The sequence below is a fragment of the Homo sapiens genome, chromosome 18 (assembly GCF_000001405.40).
Source record: "Homo sapiens chromosome 18, GRCh38.p14 Primary Assembly".
NCBI classification, from domain to species: domain Eukaryota; kingdom Metazoa; phylum Chordata; class Mammalia; order Primates; family Hominidae; genus Homo; species Homo sapiens.
In genome coordinates this window covers 71,237,356-71,259,835 of record NC_000018.10, presented here as the reverse complement: position 1 = coordinate 71,259,835, position 22,480 = coordinate 71,237,356, and the positions used below count along the sequence as shown (strand labels likewise).

The window sequence follows — 22,480 nt, the reverse complement described above, 5'->3', positions numbered from 1 at the left end:
TTCCCACAAATCTTTAATTTTTTTTTCCAGAAGACAGCCACTTCATGAGAGATCCAGAATAGAAACTGCTTATTCCAATAGGGAAAAATATTCACAGTGCTGCTTTCTTCAGCTTCCAAGGAATGCACAAATATATTTTTGTAACACAATATGCTTATTAGTCATTATATGAATTAAGCTGCCTCCCTTGCATCAATATTATAGCTGACATGGAAGCAAAACTTTTATCCTTTTCAGATAGTATCAACTATTTAAATGTGCCCTTTAATTTTCACTATATTAAATTTATTTTTGGACTTTAATCATGCTCTCTTGAATTTGCTTGGTTATTCATATCGTATGTCCCTATTAATACTGAATAAGAAAATTTTCAATAACAAATTGCTATTCGTTGTTGAATACTTTCAAAATACATTTATAACTGAAATAATTTATCAAATTGTGCTTTTAATTTTGAAGTTGCATTTTGATAAAATAAATTTATTCAATTTTATATTACTAGTTGCCACCATCATTAATGATATGTTTCCTCATTATAATTAGGTACCACTTTGGTCTCTGTTTTAGTAGCATTACCTAGTCAGATATACATTATGTTATTTTGATACTACATTTTAAATGTTTGGAAATTGTAAGTCGTAACTAAAAGGAAAATATGCATTTCTTTCTAAAGCTGCAAGCAGCTCTGAGTGTTTGAGTTCCATAAGCTGCATGGGGTAAAAAATTCTGTATGCTTTTTCACTATTAAACCTGAAGTACAGAACACTGTCTGGTACATGGTAGATGCTCAATAAATTTTAGAAAAATTAAAAAGGAAAGATGACACTAAACAATTAGTGATGAAAATGTTTCCAGAGAGACTAATTTTCATTCTTTTCTCAAAATGTTTGGTCTAAGACTCTCATAACTCCCTCTGAAGACTCAGTAGGCTTCTACAATACATCAATATTAACAATCTTTGTCGATTTTTATAGATCATGGGTGAACAATTGTCATAAAGAAATTCTTAGAAACGGTCCAAGAATAGTGAACAATATCCTCCTCAGTATAGTCTGTTTCATCAGTATTTAAGCGAACAAGCCAACTGCCAAACATTTTAATTGGCTTCAGTAAGGATTGGCACAAGTAGTGGGAAATAAAGCCTTGATGTATTCCAGCACATACAAATCCACTAATATATATTTTAAAAAACCACACAATTATTTAAAATCTAAAACACTTGTGGAAGTAGTGAGTACCTGTGCCATGGTAAAGCTATTTTCTAGAAAATACATGACATCCCAAGGGCCCACAGAACAGATTAAAAGCGACTTGGCTCTTAGGAGTTGCAATGCTCTCAATACAGTGTTAGAATCCGTGATAAATTTCATTTCAAATGAAAACACTTGCTTCCTAAAAAAATGCCTAGGGAAAATTAAAGTCTGCTCATTTGAGGGATTTGACTAACTGGTTTTTGTATGTTAATAGAACTCAACCTGAGCAGCTACATGCATTAAACCTGAAGGAAATACCTCTTTACTTGGAGAGTAAAGCACAAGTGAAGGGAGAGAGTGAGGATGGGACCAGCTCTTCTGTTCCGGTAGGACGTCTTTTATGTCTTAGGATTGCAAAGTGGTGCTTAGGAAGAATAGGATTTTGGAGTCAAGCTCGTGTAACCAGAGGTAGCAATGGCAGAATTCACTGTCTTCCACGGGAGTAAAACTAACACGTTTTGAAACTCACTCCACCACGTCATAATGCACATGAGAGATGCTTTTTTAATTTTTTTGCTTTCTATGAAACTGAAGAAATATAAAAAATATGGAAATCATTGGCTTCAAAGAGGAATGCTTGAGCACTTACAAACCCCTAAGGTAGCATCATACTTGAATACAAATTTGCTAGTAATGGTTTCTAATTGAAATATCCCCAATCAATAAGTATCTCTTCAAAATCATGTTAGTGTGTTTCTTGAAAGGACTGACATAGTATATTCGGTGGAATTTGGGGAAAGTTGAGAAAGTAACAAACAAGAGAAAACTTGCCATGCTTGTCTAGAGACGAAAGCCAGTTTCAGTGCTCAGCAGAATCTAAGCCTAATTTTGAAAGGAGAAATAGATATATATATATATATATATATATATATATATATATATATATATATATATATATATCATGTTTGTTAATTAAAACAAATTTTTTTTCAATTATCTCCTTAGGCTACTTTTTTTTTCAGAGATCTTTTTTAAGACTACTTTTACAAAGATCACCAAAGAGGAATGCTCTAACGCCCAAAATCTGAACATTTTGCCACATTCATGAGCCATTAAAATTAAAAATGTTATTGATCTACTTTTCTGCTGTGAAATAAAAATTCACTCTGGGAAATATATCCTTCTTCAGCTTAAAGCCTCTATTACCATATACTGCCTTAGCATGAATCACCATTTCTCTACACCTATTTTTCTGCATTTAACCCATTCTTAATTGGTTCATTTCAACATACACATTTATATGACAAATGTGTAATACGATTTTGACATTATGTTCATTTATCTGTACATTTTTACAAGATATTTATTCAGAGCAGAAAGTCTCTCCATTAATTCTCAATATGTAATTATATGTATATATAATTATTTTCACTCTGAATTTCAAGCCACATGCCTAGGATAAATTTCCCTAGATCCCATTAGTAACAAGTAATTACTTTTTTGTATAAACTCATGCTGTATTTCACATACAGTTCTATTCAGCACTCAATTCTGTTCACTACAGAATGCATATAATCGTTTCCTTTAACTGTCTTTTCTGTTTTGTTTTGTTTTTGAGACAGAGTTTCACTCTTGTCGCCCAGGCTGGAGTGCAAATGGCACTATATTGGCTCACTGCAACGTCCGCCTCCTGGTTCAAGAGTTTCTCCTGCCTCAGCCTCCCTAGTAGGTGGGATTACAGGCATGTGCCACCATGCCTGGCTTTTTTTTTTTTTTTGGATTATTAGTAGAGATGGGGTTTCATCATGTTGGCCAGGCTGGTCTCAAACTCCTGACCTCAGGTGACCAGCCTGCCTCGGCCTCCCAAAGTGCTGGGATTACAGGCATGAGCCACCATGCCTGGCCAAACTGCCTTTTCTATTAAGATGAAAATATTTTCTGAGAAAAACTGGATATTACTCATCTTTTTCATTTCCCTCCATTTCCATGCAGTACTCACATATTTTTTGACAATACTCAAGCTTAGGTTTAAGCGTATCATAACATACTCCAGAAGAGTTCAATAGGAAGACACTGTGATCCAACTTGAAATGTTACAAACTCAATTTGGGGAATGGATTAGCCTATACCATTAGAGTAAGAGAGGTAAGCTATTCAGATATGCATGTTGTTAACTGATCTAACAAGTTTCATGATGATTTAAGCAATATTTTAAAAATGAAGGTTCAATGACAGGACAAGGCATACTTTTGTGGAATGTTAATGTTGACACATTCTACAGATATCTGCACAGGAGTCAGTCTGCCAAACAAGGACTGGAAAACAGAAGTGCTCCTGTTCTAAGAAGGATGACAGAGCCCCAAGGAAACAGGATGGGAATGGGGCCAGGTCTCTAGTCTTCAAGCCAAACTACACAAGAGTAATAAACATGGGATAGCGGACATGTCAGAAAGGCATCTGTATTCATTGGACCAAGGGAGTGGGCAGAGGAAGAGGAGAGCTGAGTTAAGGGCAACATAAGCAGCCACGATGTCATTCTTCCCAGGTGCAATCTCCAAGAGTACAAAACTTCCTGCTATCTGCATGAGTAAACTGATTATAATCTAACCAAGATGGTGGAGGTGAGGTACAATACATCAGTATTATCAATCTTTGTTGATTTTTTAGATCATAGATAAAGGCAAAACCATTCCTGCCTTTATCAATAAAAGCTCAATAAAGTGAGCGACACTGAACCTTGTATATCCCAGGATGTAGCGATGAGAAGTTGGGGAGTCAGAGGCAGGGACTGCCAAAGAGTTACTCAAACACTATAGAATTTGTATTTTATTATTAAAGCAATCATAGAAATCATATTCTACGATTTCTATCATATCATCCTTCGAAAAAACAAGTCACAATGTTAGAGAGTGGTATTATCAGCATTGTAATAATGAACCATGAGCATTAGCTGTTATTTTAGTAAATTACAATAGACAGTATTTGCATTGCTAAGGAAACTGCTAGAAAAATCCTAACAGCATTTCAACCAAACCTATCTCTAACAGTACTGGCTTTCTAAGAGAATGTGTATCCACCTATGAGAGTAACTCCTCAACATCATCATGTTATATATCTAAATCAAACTTAATTCTTCATACTAAGTGGTAGCTAACTTTACTAATATTACAGCTACATTAGTTTCTATTAACAGCATGCATCATAGAAACTCCACAGGTAACACAGTGTACAATGAGATGTACACAAACAAAATTAGGCTATGTTAAGCCCATTGCATGGATAATGTTTATCTGGTATCCCCAATTTAGAATTAAAAATGATTCAGTTATGCACTTGCCAAATATTTATTATGATTCTACCATATAAAGAAGAATGTTTTGGAGATTTGGGATAACAATATTAATGATGCATAATATCTATTTTTAAGTTTCACAGGGTATTGCAAAAAATGAATTTATAAACAAAAAACATAATTGTAATAATCGAATAAAGTTTAATGTAGAGAAGTAAAACAAAAATGAAATTATTAATATTTTATCTACCTGGAATCACAGAAGACTTTCTGAAGAAGCTACGTCTGAGATGAATGTTTTGAATAAAGTGTAATTGTATTTGGATAAGATCTGAAATTAGATCAAATGAAGAAGACAGCAGGGATTAAGGAAAGAACTAGTGAAATAGCATGCTGTGTTCCATGAACCAATCACATCTGGTATTTAAAAGTATAGTAAGATGGTTTTCAAGATATGGATGGCTGAGGATGTGATAATAGAAGCAAAATGTTAGAGGGCATGGCACTCTAAAAGACCAGGATTTTATTCTATGGGGCAACTGTCAAAATATTTAATCTATAAAAGATAACTACTCAACTCTTGCAGCATGAAAGCTGTCATAGACGATGTGTAAATGAATGTGCGTGAGTGCCTTCCAATAAAACTTTATTTACAAAAAACAGACAGTAGGGCAGACTTAATCCACAGGCCATAGAATTGTTCAACTATAATTGAACAGTCGTAGTTCCATCTCTCTTACAAAGGATCAGAAATCACTGAATAATAGCAATGCACTGAAATAACAATATTTAATATCTGAAAGAATATTCTGGCAGTTATGTATTGGACAAGTAGGGAGATGATAGAATGAGTTAGATAAATCATTTCTGCAATAATACACTTACTCTCTTTTGATAACTCAAGGCATTACAAAAATATTTGAATGGAAAGGATGGGTTATAACAATATGTAGGAGACATAATCAATGTGACGTGGCAGAGGATACAGTATGTGCTGAACGATGGAATAAGCAATGGAAAGTGAGATAATGTGGAAGAACAAACTCAGGATGAAGGGGAAATGATAAGCTCAAGACTAGACCCCAGGGGGGCTCCAGTACCAGACGAGGTTATTTGCACACATTGGCTTAGATCTCAGCAGATGAATCCTGCTGTTAGCTGACCATTGAGCGTTAGAGTCTTAAGGATGATAATACCTGAGAAGAGGGTATAGAAATTGAAAAACACTATAATCGACATCCATTCACTGCAGCCACAATTCACACCTTTTTCCTTAAATAGTACATACATTTCCTAACAGAAATCTATCCTCCTGTATTCAGAGCCCACAGCATTGATTCAGATGGATTCTACCCAATTCAGAATTATTAATTTAAGGGCCCCTGATGGGTCTCACCCAATAGTTCTCCATTCTCAGGGGGATGTTACAGGTATTTATTTCCCTAGATTGAGGGATGTTAAGCACCACCAAAGGCCCAGACATTATTGCACAAGAAATTGTCCTATCCAAAATGTCAGTGCCAAATGCCGACCTAGGCTAGTTAGCACACTCCACTGATTCTTAGGATCCTCTAGACAGTAATTAGAATGACTCTTATCAGTCAAATACCACTGGAGCTTCACAGAGAGGGAACCTTGGGCTTTCCCCGAGGTTTGCATCCAGAAACTTGCAGTTTGGCTCTGCTCTTGCCCACTTGCTGGCGTATTTTGTGTAAAAATGAAGCCTCCACGCAGAGCAGGAGAGCAGAGTCAGCCCTGCAGAGAGCCGAAGTGGATCTTGGTAACACATTTTGGTACCGCAGTGAAGCTAAGCCACCCCGGGACTCTTCAGTTACTTCAGCCAGTAATTTCTCTCTTTGCACAACCAGTGGAAAAGGCACTTCAACTGAAAGAATATCTGGAGAAAAAAGCCAAGAATAGAGAAAGCTGAAGAACATAAAAATTTAACATCGAATCAGAATAACAGGATAGAGAGGGAGAAAGGACTAAAAATGGCCAGTGACAGGGAAGAACCAGGATGGAATGATTTTACAAAATTCACATTTTTTGGAATTTTTTTTTAAAAACGTCAATGGTGTCATCTGCTTAAGGATAATGAGATTTGTTGAAAAAGTTTTAAATGTGACAATAGAGAAACCATTGCCAAAATCTGGCCACTAAATTTCATATAAAGAAATTTCATGCAACTTTATTACAATTGCTTTTTGGGCCCATCCAGTTATATACCTACTTTTATCAAGATGTGATGAGAATACTTACTCATACATTACAATGAAATAAAGATAACGGAAAATTACTGATTATATATTTCTGATTAAAATGTATAGAGACTCCAAGTCAGTGACTTGAATCATAAATATACATACACAAGCATATATATATATTCTAAACATAAAATACCACTATAACTACTGTTCATAGTTATAGTGATGTGGCGGATTAATGACAAACTATGTTTATTAGGAAATGTACATAACACTAAGTCAGAGTGAGCTCATGGGCAGGGCTTTGTCTGGCTTGCATAGCGCCTTCCCTTTTGCCATCATCAAACATGGTATCTGTATTAGTCCATTCTCACACTGCTATAAAGAACTACCTGAGACTGGGTAAGTAATAAAGACAAGAGACTTAAGTGACTCACAGTTCTGCAGGCTGTGCAGGAAGCGTGGCTGAGGAGGCCTCAGGAAATTTACAATCATGGCAGAAGGCAAAGGGGAAGCCAGCATGTCTTACATAGTGGGAGCAGGAGACAGAGAGAAAGAAGGGGGAAGTGCCACACACTTTTCAAGCAGCCAGATCTCGTGAGAACTCTTATCATGAGCCAGGAGGAAGTCCGCCCCCCATGATTCAATCACCTCCCACCAGGCGCCTCCTCCAACACTGGGAATTATAATTCAACATGAGATTTAGATGGGGACACAGAGCTAAACCATATCCGTATCATTTACTGCTCTTCCAGTGTTGCTCCAGCTAACTGGTGCAACATGTTAATTAAAGCCACGTTGTCACTTTCCTCTATAACCTTGGAGTAAAGAATGAAGAACTAATGATGTATTCTGGAAGATGCAAACAGAGGCAATCCTATAGGTTAGATGAAGAGAAAATGTTTCCACAGAAGGTGGGAAGAATACTCTGCTTGGATTGAAAAAAAATAGGGTATGAGACACTAGGGAAAAAAGAAAAGACTTCAAGAAAAGAGGATAGAAAAGGATATGGCTGCAGGTGGTAAGAAATGTGTTCACTTCCCCTAGTGATTGATTGGTGGATGAACCACAGTTTTCTGAGTGAGAAAGGCAAGCCAACTAATTGCTGAGACCGCCACTGCCTGGTATTGTGGTCCAGGGATAAGCGAGAAATCCCCAGGGTATTGTAGCATGAGTGCCGCAAAAGTTAGCAGGGCAACGTGGAAGCAAAAATGCCATGATTCTCAAATACTAAGCAACTGTAAACTAGGTCAAACCCACACAAATTCAGGAACTTGGTAATAACAGGAGAGAAATATGCCAGTTTCTCATACTAACAAGGGAGTTAATGATGCATTATGTTAATTAAATTTATTAATTTAATCCTGGGGTGTCTTATAAGTTATCTTCTCAATACCTGGGGAAACTCAATAACCTGGAGAAAGGCAAGAATGAAACATTGTTATTGGAATCTGAGATGGTGTTTTAGCATTAGAGACTTACATATTGCTTCATATAAAATTACCCAACATTTATGCTCTTAAATTAGTTTGCCATCAAGGACAGACTCACAGTTAACATCCAACTTGTGAACACTTCAAAATAAGACAGTACTACGTCCCTTTTCTACTGTCCAACTGGAAAAATGCTCTTGTTGCAACTGGTCATGAATATTCCAGACTGGCTTATTATTTCTCTTCAGTGTTACAATGGTGAGTACTGTATGTACTTCCCAGGCTTTTGTGGATGAAAGGATAACTTCTGCTAAGCTTATTACTTTTAAAAAATCAACAAAACATAAAAGCTCTGTATTTTTTTTTTCTTTTTGACAAAGCCTCACTATGTCACCAGGCTGGAGTGCAATGGCACAATCTTGGCTCACTGCTCACTGCAACCTCCGCCTCGCAGGTTCAAGCGATTCTCCCGCCTCAGCTTCCCAGGTAGCTGGGATTACAGACGTGCACCATCACATCTGGCTAACTTTTTTGTATTTTTAGTAGAGACGGCATTTCACCATGTTGTCCAGGCTGGTCTTGAATTTCTGACCTCGTGATCCACCCAGCTCAGCTTCCCAAAGTGCTGGGATTACAGGCATAAGCCACTGTGCCTGGCCTGTAATCTTTCTTATGATGACCTATCTTCACCTTCCTCCCCCACCTTCTCCCCATGGGTAAAAATATCCGTTATGCCATTTATTTGTATTCTATCCATGGGCTATTGTCCTGCCCAAGCCCCTTCCCCACTTAAATCCTGAAAATACGTTAGCATTCCTTTCAAGCCCTTTTTCTTTTTTTGTTTGTTTTAATTTTATATTATACTTTAAGTTTTAGGGTACATGTGCACAACGTGCAGGTTTATTACATATGTATACATCAAGCCCTTTTTCATAACAATTTTTTGTTATAAATGTCATATGTATTTTTGCAGAATCCTCCATTAGAATGATACACACACATACATACAGAAGGATCAATTTTAATTGATAAAGTCTACTAAATTGGTACACTAACAAGGAAAACAAATAAGCATTTATAGAAGTGAAGGGAAAATTTTCTCCCTTTTTTATTGTTAGTTAAATATCCAGAGACTTGCTCTGCTACCATGTTCCTGGAACTGACAAGTCTTTATAACTGAGATAACTCTCCTAAAGTTCTAGGGAAGGTTCATGAAATACAACTTGTCTGAATTCCATTGTTGTCACTTGTTGACCAGGAACATAAACCAGAATGAACTGAACACAGTATGTGTAGCCCTGCCCTATCTCCGTTCTCTTTTTAAATCATGTACAATGCAAGATGTCATTTCATTGTTCCACAACAATGAATTTCCTGCTGCCCAAACTTGATACAGTTAGTTGACTCATTTAATAAATTTCTGTTACCTTGCTGTTTATTACCTCCTGAAGAGAAATTCTTTATTAAGACTCTAATACTGAATCCTGTCCTTTTTCTGTCTCAGCCCATTTCTTTTATGGATTCACTGCTTTCTGTGAGGTGCTACTCTTGCAAAGTCATGGGGATGTTATAAAAATATTTGTCTTAATTCAGGTTCCCACAGTGGCAGATTTTGAGCCAAGAATTCAAGTGCAAGTGATTTATTAAGGAAATGCTCCCAGGAAGTAGTGGCAAGGGAATAAGAAACAGGATAGGGAAGCAGGAGAAGCCAAATCTGCCTGATGCTGTGGAGAGCTCTGGAATGTAAATTATGCCCCTGAGTTTGCTCTATGTTAAGACAGATGAGCACCATGTTTGCACTCCAAATAAGTAATTATTGGCTACAGGCTTCCTCAGGAGTAGAGAAACAACATAAAGTCCTAGGCACTTGTGACTTCTCCATATGAGTAAGGGGGCTCTGGTGGCCAGAAATTATCCCCTGAAGAAGGTTGCAGGTGCAAGTAGCAGTAAAACACACAGGAGCTTGGCAGGGATGATGGACACACAAAGTTCATAAAAAAGGATCAACGCTGACCTGGGCAGGCAGGACTTGCAGAATGGTGGTATGAGGAGCTCAAGGAAACCTCTCTTCCAGAGAAATCGATTTAATTGGTCAAACTTAGCAAAGAGAATCCTCCAGGTCAATTCTTCCTGGAAATTGACCAAAGAGCTTATGGCAAACAGAGAGGCATTTGTTCCACAAAATCTGCAGAGCTAGACGAGAACAATTGGAGGCCATGGCATTTGAGTTAGATACTGCACCCACCCTGGACAGTTCTATGTTGAGGAAGAAGCACTTCAGCAGGCTCAACGGCTGAGGGACAGCTTTCATCTCCCTTGGTTCGGGTTGTGGTGCAGCTGTTCTATATGGATTTGGCAACTTAGTTGAACGTTGGCGTATCACATCCTACCTGGCTCCATCCAGCAGAAGAAGGTCTACACTGGGTGAATTGGGGCATAATACGTGTTGAAGGTGATGCACTCACATGTGTGGTATCTTTGACATTTGAGAGGTATGAGTAACTAGTAACTATAAGGACTATGAAACTGGGTGGTGGTTGTTGCTGAATGCCGCTGATGCATTATAAAGAGTAGATTCAAGCCAGTTTATTATTACCTTGAAACAAGCTTAAAGGGTTCCATGACTGCATTTAAGGACCCTCGTCACCTGCAGCTGGAGAACTGATATAGCAGAAAGCAGGCACAGAACTCAATGATATGAGTGATCAAATTTCAGAGAAGGCAACATTTTCAGGCTCAGCAAATGTCCCATGTCTACACTGAAGCTAGAAATAGAGATATTTGGACAGAATCCTAAATGTCTCAATTCCTCTGGCCCTTGTGAGCTTGTCTAAGAAATATGCTTGTGAGAGGCAACTGGCATTGTTACTAACTCAGTAGATTGTCTTTTTCCAATGGTTGAAGCTGATGGAAAAAAAATGATGGTTTCTATATTGCCAGTAGGATGAATAGATACCAGACAAGCAGAGACAAGGTGGGTGTAATTACCACAGAGGGTGACACATTTGTAATGGCAGTCAGTCTGGAATGATCAGATCCTTACAGGAATATATGGTGATGGCCAATAGACTATGATATTCCTAAGGGCAATATAGATGGGCAGCCAGACAAACTATTGCTTAGTGTATATAGTTAAAGGACTAACAGAAAACTGAGGTCAGCTTCTTCAGTGGAAACACATGCAGTATTTGCATGTATGATTTTGGATGCAAATGGTACAGGCTTCATTGGACTGTGAAGCAATGTTATCACAATGGACAAAGCCTAAGAATTTACACATACTGCCCTATATCTCTACCTGGATTTCTCTATTTTTTCTCTATTTTGGAAAGCCAGGCAGAAATGGCTGGCCTAGAACTTTTCTTTAAAATATTACCATGATAGTTTAAAAAGCAAAGATACAGTGAAAATTTAAAGGTCTTTCTCAGAGAGCTTTCACCTCAGAGAGCTCTCAGAGATCATGTCCAATCCCCTTTAAACGTTTAAGATATTGTAAGTGTTAAGAAAGAATGTTTTTGAGAATGAAAAAGAAAGATGTTTGAATGTGTTTTCATCTTGATCTGGTTAAATAACAAACAATAAATTTTATGATGTTAATTTAAAAATGTTTCACGTTGAATGAATAAAATCTTCAATCTCTATTTTCACTCTAAAAAACTGCATTCCACTATAAAAAGCAATAAATGGTCAGCATCTGTGAGTGGCACATTGCAGTCACAATAATTTCAGTATCTATTTTGATAATTGCTCTTGATATCTTCACAAAATGCTTTGCTCAAAATCTTTATAAGCAGGATTTCAGACATAAAAGTTATTCTCTCTCTGTGGTATAATGAGCAACCACTTTGATAGGAATGGTGTGACAGACATAAACATAAAAATTTCAATTATAAATATAAACTTTCATCTCTTTTATCTTGTTTGTTTATTCTTACCAATGGATGTTCATGTAATTTGTCAATGTCCTAATCTATTTATAAATATTCCCAATTATAAAAGAAGTGGATTGGCAAATATTTCTAAGGACTCAGTGATAAATTTTGCCATCAGTCATGTCAATAAAGGTAATTCAACATTTATATCCTCTCACACAATTCTTATTCATCTATAAAAAATATTTTTTCTACAAAATAACACTCAGTACTTTATGATAAATTATATTAAAGATATCAGAATTATTTCAGATTAGATTTTACAGCTATCTGAATCTAAATTTAGGCAAAGTGCAATTATGAAAATGTTGTTTTATAGCATCATTTTTTTGTGATGATCTTATATGCTCATTTAAGTTCAGCTTTCTCTTTAATTTCCTGTGCCAATGAATTTACTTTTCATACAAAATGGCACGTACATCACTGTGAAAAAAATAAAATATCTAGTAATATCACAACTCAATGGAAGGAAATAAATAATGGAAAATAAGGTCAAAATTAACTTTACAAATAAGATTTACCAAAGTATATGATAGTAGAGAGAATAAAATACTGACTTGTGATTTATATGTGAAAGAAGCATTCGTACTAAATATACGTGAAACCTTGGAAAATTGCTTAAGGTCTCTAAGCTTTAATTTTCTTACCTTTTACATCTAAAATTCCAAAATCTTGTCACAATCAAGTAAATAAGAACATTTTTTTAAGTTTTTTTTTTTTTTTTTTTTTTTTTTTTTTTTTTTTTTTTAAGACAGAGTCTGGCTCTGTCACCCAGGCTGGAGAGCAACGGTATGAGCTCGGCTCACTGCAACCTCTGCCTCCCTGGTTCAAGTGATTCTCCCACCTCAGCCTCCCGAGTAGCTGGAATTACAGGTGCGTGTCACCATGTCCAACTAATTTTTGTATTTGCAGTAGAGACAGGGTTTCACCATGTTGGCCAGGCTGGTCTCGAACTCCTGACTTCAGGTGATCCATCCACCTTGGCCTTCCAAAGTGCTGGGATTACAGGCGTGAGCCACCGCATCCAGCCTCAAATATTTATTACTCAGATAAAAAATGTGTATCACATTTGAGAAGTTTGGAAACATCTGGGGTATGACTTTCTAATAATCACAATAACACTATATGACTATTTAAATATTATTTGATCAAAACTTAAGCAATTTAAGAATTAGAAGAAGTAGGAAAGAGATGGTTAGTAACAAGTTAAAATATACTCTCTTCAGTCTGGGAAACACAGGGAGACTGTCTACACAAATAATTTAAAAATTAGCCAGGCGTAATGGCATGTGCCTCTGGTCCCAGTTACTTAAGAGGCTGAGGTGAAGGATTGCTTGAGCCCAGGAGGTCAAGGTTGCCATGGGCTATGATCATGCCACTGCACTCCAGCGTGTGTGACAGAGCAAGATGCTGTCTCAAATAATAATAATAATAATAATAATAATAATAATAATAATAATAATAAACACTCTCTCATTTTACCAAAATAGTAACTCTGGAAAAGAAAAAAATTAAGTTATCACAGTTTAATCTCTTGTAGATATACTAATAACAGACTATTGGGCAGTGAGTCAATGGTATTTGCTGTGGGAGAGTCCTTATTGATGGAACACGATTCACAGGATGTACCTGGGCTGTCTAAGCTGCTCATAGTAAAGAAACCTGAAAATTATGGATTTATGAGGGATAGCTCCCATTCATGAGATTAAATGAGCCATCCAAAAAATATCAACTAGACTTTGTAACTATAAATGGTGCTAATTCATAATATAATATTTGCTTTCTGTGTAAGCAAAGTGACTGCATGCATTATTTGGAGACTTCAGACATGAAAAAACTTATATGCAATATGTAGGGCAAAGATTTGAAATGAGGAGTAGTTGAAGAACTGTGCTGATAGATTTGGGCCTCTTTCAACTTCACTGTGCCCCTTTTCATTACCTGAATAGTGGAAATTATTAGTAGAGCTCAATTCTAAGTACGATATCTTATTCTTTCAAGCCTGATTTGACAATATGCTCTTTTGCATTACTCCCAGATGTCAAAGTAAAAGGAGTTAAAATGCTGCATACATTTTCTAAATTATTTTTGGAGATAACTATGGTTATGTTTGTTTGGGAAATATTTTTTCTAATTAATAGTTGGATAATGCTATTTATTTCTAAACTAAGGTAAGATTCAACATAACAAAAAAGAATTTCAGAAAAGTTTATCATTCATACTAAATATTTGAGCTATAAAATATGTATATATTTTCATTGCAATTCAGGTGATATAAACCCCACTGTCCACCTCTTGCAAACCATAGTGATTTTTTACTTCTGGCATCATCTTAATAGTCACCATGATTTGGAAAATGAAATACTCAACCACATAAATACAACCACGAAATGGTATAAGCCATGCTTCTTGTTTACAACAATTACATATTAAATTATTGCTAAAACTATAATCAATTTAGTATTCAGTGATATTGTGGAGAGGAGAGTTCAAGAAAGTGAAATGCTTCTGGTAAAATAAATGACAAAAGAAGTATTAACAAGTTGAGGCAGTGTTATGCTCAAACACAAAATGTAAAGTGTCAAACACGCTACCAGGAGAATTTTAGGATAAGTTTTATATACATAAAATAAAAACTCTAAGATTTCAGACATGCAGGAATAGGAAAAATTGCAAATAGCCATATTGTTCAAATTTGTAAGACATTGGCTAATCTCAAAGTTTTATTAATATTTACCTATGTTTACATATGTAATTCTTTCATCAAAACTAATTTTCATTTAAATCTCATTAAAGGTCTTTCTTACCTAGTATTAGCTTCAGTTGATATGTATGTAGGGTGTCCTGTATTCTGTATTTGGTTAACTAATGATATAATTAATGCCTACCTGCAAACAATATGCTTCATTTTACTACAGTCATTTTTCTGGGACCTTGAAAAACAACTGGTGCTATGATTTGAAAGTTATATGTGTTTTATAAGTTGTCATTTTGTTTATTTACATCTAACAGTTATAGAGAGAAATTTTCTAAAATACCTTATTTATATGTAGATAAATTATTTACCTTTTCCTTTCTCTGGAAGGAAAATTCATTGCTAAGTTCAATTATCACTTCACTCTTATTGCCATTACAGCCAAAGGTATCCTTTGCTAAATATCAAAAAGTACTGAAAAGGATTTACTCTTATTATCTCCTGTTGTCCTTTCTGCCACTCAACTTTTAAGTTGCTTCCACATACTGAAGTAATAACACAACAAAGGGCTAAAGACAAATAAAACAAAAACAGCAAAGAACTACTGCAAAAACACTTGGTCTGATCTCTTCTCAAATTTCAGTATTCTCAAGATTTTAGGCATCAGGGCCACTTTGTACTCTTAAAAATTATTGAGAACCCTCCCTACAGAGTTTTTTCTTATGTGGGTTATAACTATCAATATTTACCATATTAGAAATTAAGACACTTTAAATTGATTAATTAATTTAAAATAATAAATCAGTATGTGTTAATATAAATAACATTTTTTGCATAGCCACATTTTTTAGAAATACATATTGTGGAGTGTGTCATTATTTTACATTTTGGTAAATCCTTTAACATCAGCTGGATTCTCACATATGCCTCTGCATTCAATTTGTTGCAACATCACTTGTCATGTAGTTTCTGAAAAGCTTAACAGTTTAATATTATTATTATTACTATGAAAATAGGTTTTACTTCCAGAATACCTTAAAAAGGTCTCAAGCAGCCCTAGCTCTCTGCAAATCTTACATTGAGAACTGCTTTTATTCTAGAACTGAATTTCAGCCTCAAATCATGACCACTGGGCAAGTGTAGTCAAAGCCCCACAGTTTAAGAATACCAGTTAGGTTTCTCTAATCTCATATTATCAGAGAGTGACATATGGGACACTTTCATAAGCCTTGTTCAGTTACAGAGCCTGGACTGCACGACCCAGACATGCCCCCACTCAAGTGCCCCCATTTAACAACATTTTTTTCTGGTACCCAAGATCCACCATCATTGAGCTATACCCAGCAACTCAAAGAAATGAGTAATGTTCTTTATGTTGTCCTCCTTCGGTCTAAATCTATGATGATTAAATATTTATATCTGACTATATTTATATATAATATATTCACATATTAATATGTATATTTATACCTGACATATATTTATATGTTTGAATATTTATGCCTGCAAAACAATTTATTTTGCACTTACTTACCTTTGATTTTTTTTCACCAAAACTCTAGAATTCATATAAGTATCAATATGGCTCTCTCTACCGGATCTTAGACTCCAATTAAGTTCAGTCCCTTACCAGAGAAGGTTTGTGTGCCAAAAGGTAAACCAGAAAACTGCTTTCAGACCCTAAATCTGTGTGACAGCTATACTTCTAGAAGCCTGCATTCCCATCAATTGCTTTCTGAACTCAAAGTCAAAGCTGCTTATAGTGACATCAATATCTAAAGTATATGAAGTATTCCACCTGTTCTTCTTCATCAAGAGGAGCGTAAAGGAGCTGTTCTTATGCCATGTGCATTGTCTCTCAGTGCAATCACCAGTCAGATTGCTGCCATATGAGGTCAGCATTCCAGTAACGCTGCCTGGGTTTGACCTGAACTCGCACTTAACTAGTGGTGAGTTTAAGCAAGTGGTGAGTTTAAGTCACTTAAACTCACCATGCCTGAGTTGCCTAAACGACAGAAGGCAGATAACACATGCTAACAGAAATTCTTAGCACTGCGTAAGAGAGCAATCAATGTTACCTGTTAGATGTACCTGGATCCTTCTTATATAACATGGCTCAACACTTTGCTAGATTTCAAGGGTATTTTAACTTTATTAGAAAAAAAATGCAGAGGGGAAGAATTAAGCCCACCTTTCTGAATGCACTTTTTTGGTATTTGAAGGACCTTCCATCCTAAAATTACAGGTGAAGATTTTTCATAATGCTCTAAAAAGTCTCATTATTTTCTGATAAGAGGAGACTCATTAAAGATAAATGGTTATCTGGACTCATATTCTGAATAACAGCATCTAGAATTCAATACTATTTTTTACTTCTACTTAAATATCCCACCTAGCTTTATAGAACTTAAATAAAAATTTCTTAAGGTTGTATTACATTGGGTCACATGTTAAGGTGTGATAGGTTTATAAGTGTGTTTGTGTATGGGCACATGTGTTTATAAAGAGCATGTGCATGTATTTCCAGGTGATGGGCTGAATTCAGAATGTCATAAAGATTCTGTCCTAAAAACCTTAATCTTTGTGATTACTTTAAAGAAAATTTTCCCTAACAAGTTCAGATTGTTCATATATGAAATGGGAAGTCCTGGTGGTTACATGCTTCCTTAATAATTAGAGACATGCTTTTCAGGAAGATTTGAAAAAGAAGACCCTATATACAAAAGTAGGGAATACAACCTAGACAGAATTATCCTCTGACAATTTTTATGACTTTTACTTAGCTTTGGTTTATTAAGAAGCTTTGATTATAATTTTGAATTTTAGTGACCTGGTGTGTGGTTTCAATTACAAACTATGATTAATCAATGCTTGCTATCAGAAGTTGCCTGTAATCAGATGTAGGTGGATAGAAGGTTTTATTACATATGGACTCTAACTCCCTCTTGATCTAAGTGCAAAGCACTAAAACTCCTAGGCCACAGATTTCCTAAGGCAATCCTGGAGCTAGAAAGGTATGGCTTTAGAAATTCGATTATAGCTAGAGTTGTGGAAAGAGAGACGAGTGATGGTACATCATATACGTACATGCTCATATGCATTCATTCACATATTTAATGAGCATCTATGGTACATTCAGTAATCTAAACAAGAAAGACACAGCCTTGCCATTGCTACATTTACTTTATTGTTTTATGCCACCAGGTCAAACAATGTATCCTAAAGCAGAAGAGTTACAAAAGAATTATGACACTTGTGGAGGCCCAGGTCCAGGGTACTCAAGGAGTACAGAAGGGCACCGTTTCACAAACTATGTTGCCTCTCTAAACAAGTTTTTCAAAATCCCAAAAGATAAAGCTCAAGCTCAGAGAACATACCTCCACATCACAGAAGCATGTAAAGCTTACTTTCGGTCCTGAAAACAATTCTGCAAAGTGAGCGTTGGTTACATTATGATTAGTAATCCTGTGGGCTCATTCTACTCAAAGAGTTATCCATTGGTGTATATGCAAAAAACTCATCCATGTTGACTCTGCCTTGAGAAGTCAAGATGGAGCAAAGCAGCCTTCAGGGACCAGTAGAGACAAATGATCACAAAACAGAGAAAAAAATAGACTGTCGAAAACATCGGTGCTGTCAAGAGATACGGGAAAGCCCAGCATTCAATGAAGAAGCAGGAGAAGTGTCTGTGGCCTATAGGAATTAGAGGTTATGTGGAAGGATTTAGAAGATCAATGTGTACCCCTTAGAACAGCTGCCTAATACTCAAGAGCCTCAAGCCTTCTGATTTATATATGCAGATACTACATATGGAATTTGTTAAAAATTAGATCGCCTCTACTTTTTGGGTGGTGTGGGTGGGAGGAGAGGAAGCAGTAGGCTAGAATCAGTCTTTATACATGTCTGAGTTTCCCTACATAGCTGGCAACCACATGGTATTAAGAACTGAATCAGTGTGTTTTGCACAGAAATCTATTAAAGGCTTCTCTTGCTTTGTTTATTGTTTTAATGTTTTTTTTTAATTTAAGGTAATTTTAGATTCACCTGCTTTTGTAAATAATAATAGAGTAATATTTGTTCTCTAATAGTAATACACTTTTGACTCATTTTCACTATCTAAATAAGCAAATATAAGTAATCTAGCCCTAATTTCATTGTTCAGATAAAAGCAGGCATTTAAAACATAAGCATGGAAAAGTAATAAAAGAAAACATTAGAGAGAGATTAAAATAATCAGATTGTTTTTTGATGCCAGAATTCCATGTTTTGAAACCATTTGTGGATGGATATGATTTATCTGCATACCAGTTTAATGGAAACCTCCATGGTTCATATATTATTGATTTTACAGTTTCAATGGGTAGAAATGGCTTTGCTCATATTCACCTTCCTATTTTTCATGACCTCAAATTTTTGGTTTTTGAATTTTTATGTGAAATTGATCCACGTTATTCTTTTTGTCCTTCTGTAATTAAGTCTCAGAGCTTACACTTTTAAGAGAATTTGCCTCAACATATGAAATATGTGGCAAATTCCATGGGCATCTGGCAAGTAACATGTGCTTTTTAAAAAATCACTAATTTTTTCCTAATAGAATTCCTTTATAGGAAGCAATAGTCATACTTATGAGTAGTATTCCTTAGAAGAAATTATGCAATCTTGGAGTAGAAAGGATATAATCAATTATTTCCAAACTCTTCTCTTTACAGATGAGGTAAATAATCCCCAGAGAATAGTAGCAATTTGGTCCTGGACACAGGTGTATAGTATTACACATAATGAGAATCAGGTGTCCTGACCCCTAATCTAATGCTTTGGACATCAGAACAGCTGCCTGCCGGCAATTAGACAATCACCTGTAGTGTCAATATGTATTTAAAAAGGCTTTAAATATGACAAATAAAAATTATGTTGACATCTTTAACCATTAACAAAAAGGTGAAGAGAATCCCAACTTCTTCCCCAGACATTGTAAAGGTAAAACATAGAAATTTCCCATAGAAAATGTTAGAGGTTTTCAGGGTTGAGAGGAGAGAGAGATCTCAATTATAAAATACTTGGCAACTGAAGAAACTTCAAATATTATTACTATAAAAGAAATCAGAAATATTTCTAGGTTGCTTACATAGAATAACATACTGAAAATTGACTAATGATTACATCTCTCATTCAGATATTTTAAAATTTTATTTCTGTAAGTGGGAAGCAAAAGGCATAAAGCCTTCTTTAAATTTCATATTTTAAATTTAGAATCAATTATAGTTTTTTTATTCCTACATCATTACAATATTAACAGGTTTTCTAACATTAGCCACAAGTTCCTACATCAGTGCAGAATATCTCAATTCAGAAGGTGAATTATGGAAATTAAATAATTATATATAAATCAAATATTTTCACTTCTATTTAAGACCTAATACAGAAAGCTTAAATGTTCATATTGTAAAGAGGAGTTCCCAGTAATGCAACTATTTTGAGAGCCCCAAGCTAAACTGGGGTTTCAGTACCACATCCACCAGCAGCCCTGACCCACTAGGAAATGAAGGGGAGGTGGATCCACGTGTTCACAGCGTGCCTTTCACAGCTCTATTACCTGGTGGATGGCCTAATGTCTGGTTGTCTCACCCACGACCAGAAGGTGACTCACAACCACGACCAGAAGGTGATTATACCAGCAGATGCCCTTATCGCTCTTGTCTGACCCGTGTGCAGTTTATGCCTGCCTGGCTCTCCCTCTGGTGCCAGGAGCCTGACCTTGTGTTCTCCACAGCTAGGGAAGTCCCTTTTTCTTCGGATGGAAGGTGCAAAATCAACCCACCACTACAGCAGAAAATGAGCTCAAGGATTTATTACTTTCAGATTCTGGGAAAGGAGAGTGTAATGAGTTAGGAGAGCAGTAACAAGTCATTCATGCAAGAATGAAGAGGCAGGCAGAGAAAAAGAATACGCGTGGCAACCAGCAGTGTATACGTAAAGCAATAGGGTGTGGGTCACTTTAAGTTCATGGGGAAATGCCTGAATGGTCCCTTTAAAGGAGGCAGTGGGAAAGTGGGAGCCCCCGCCTGCTAGGCAGGAGAGATACCCTAAGTTCTTTACTCTGGCCACCAGCTTGAGCCATTTGGGTGTGGCAGAGAACTGGAAACTGTGTCACAGGTAACTGAGACCTGCTTCTGGTCTGAAAAGGTTAGAACTATATTCAAAATAAAGGACAAGGCGATATAAAAATCATAGAAATTCACTACAGCAACTAACATAAAGTCTTCCAATGTAAGAACATATTTTCTATTCTCTGATGTGCTTTAATTTCATAGGCCATAGTAGCAGATAATGTACATCTCTTTAAAGAATAAAGTAGGGCCATTGTAATAAATATGAAAAACATACATGAAGATGTAATTTTATTAAAGATTTAATGAAGACTGCAGTGAATTGATAAAAAGAAATAAATTACCTATGGAAATATCCCTATAATATGTTAGTGTATAATTTGCCTTTCTTGTTAACAGAAAAATTCAGACATATTTTTACTTAATATTGCTAAGACCATAGATTAAATTAGTGGTAAAGTCATCTATGAAATTCCAATTCACCAACAGCCAGTCAAATTCAATTATATTTTGTAATGCTATGATTTGTTAGTTCCTGCATTTTACTGTATTATCTAAATTTATGTTAAAGTATGACATAAAAACATTATTTTCAAAATGTAACTTCTATGGTAAACTTAATCCTATACTTCACAGGGATTAATGTAAAGCAGAAGCACACACAAATATACATGCACATTTAAGAACTGTGTTTGCACTTTCTCTTTTTAATAAGTAGAAATCATACTTCATTAAGGTTTCTTGCAAACATGTTTTAAAGAGCTGAACTTTTTGTCATAATGAATTACAACTTGATGAGTTAAAGGAAACAGTAAAGTTGTCAAAATAGGATAAGAAATAATTTTTGATGCTCAACACAAATTCATTGGAGACAATGGAGCACGTGTGGTAACTTGGCTCTTGCCCATTTTCTCTATCCACAGCAAATATCTTCTCAAAATAGGAAGATGCTCCACACTTATCTCAGGAAAGTATTTCATTGCTAGCGGCAGTGTAGTCAAAAGTTTTGAAACTCTGCTCATTATGTGAAGAAAGAGCTTAACAAGCATGCATGAAATACTGTACTGCCTCTAACTTGCTCTTCTTTCTGGATTTACAGAGTTTAATGAATCATTTAACAAAAACAGCCTAACTACCCAGGCATATAAAAGTCTGATTCATTCATCACCCAAAAGCCTTAACCACAGGGATGATACAGGGATGTCTTACAAATTGGAATGAGAATTCAACCATTTATTGCAAGCTGAGTCTCCCACACTCCAAGTATTGTTAAGGGTTACATAATATACTTTCCCCCTTATTTTTGAATCTTTAAACATTATTTTCTTCAGTCTTAGTTTTATCTTGGAAAAAAAAAAATCCTGTCCGTTGGTGGCAAATGTTCCTGAAATCTGGGGTGCTACTTCGCTATGCATTAGCTGGATTGGGAACAGTGGTTTATACATAGCAAGAAATAGCAGCTCAGCAAAAACATTTGAATGAGGAAATGAATGCATGAGTGAGTGAAAAATGGAAAAGTATCAAATGAAATGGGTACTGATTTCAGTGCGACGGGACTTTCTAAATCTCTCTGACCACTTACATATCTTAGCATATAAGTCTGTTCTCACACTGCTATGAAGAA

General features: G+C 35.8%; 1 annotated feature.

Annotated features, from left to right (window-relative positions):
• Nucleotides 16,986-17,155: an enhancer, noted in NCBI's record as "experimental_49625 CRE fragment used in MPRA reporter constructs". NCBI's record gives its function as "activates a minimal promoter by MPRAs in K562 erythroleukemia cells, with activity observed for both the introgressed and non-introgressed 18:68910002 variant alleles {active_cell/tissue: K562}" and the evidence as "EXISTENCE:reporter gene assay evidence [ECO:0000049][PMID:34662402]".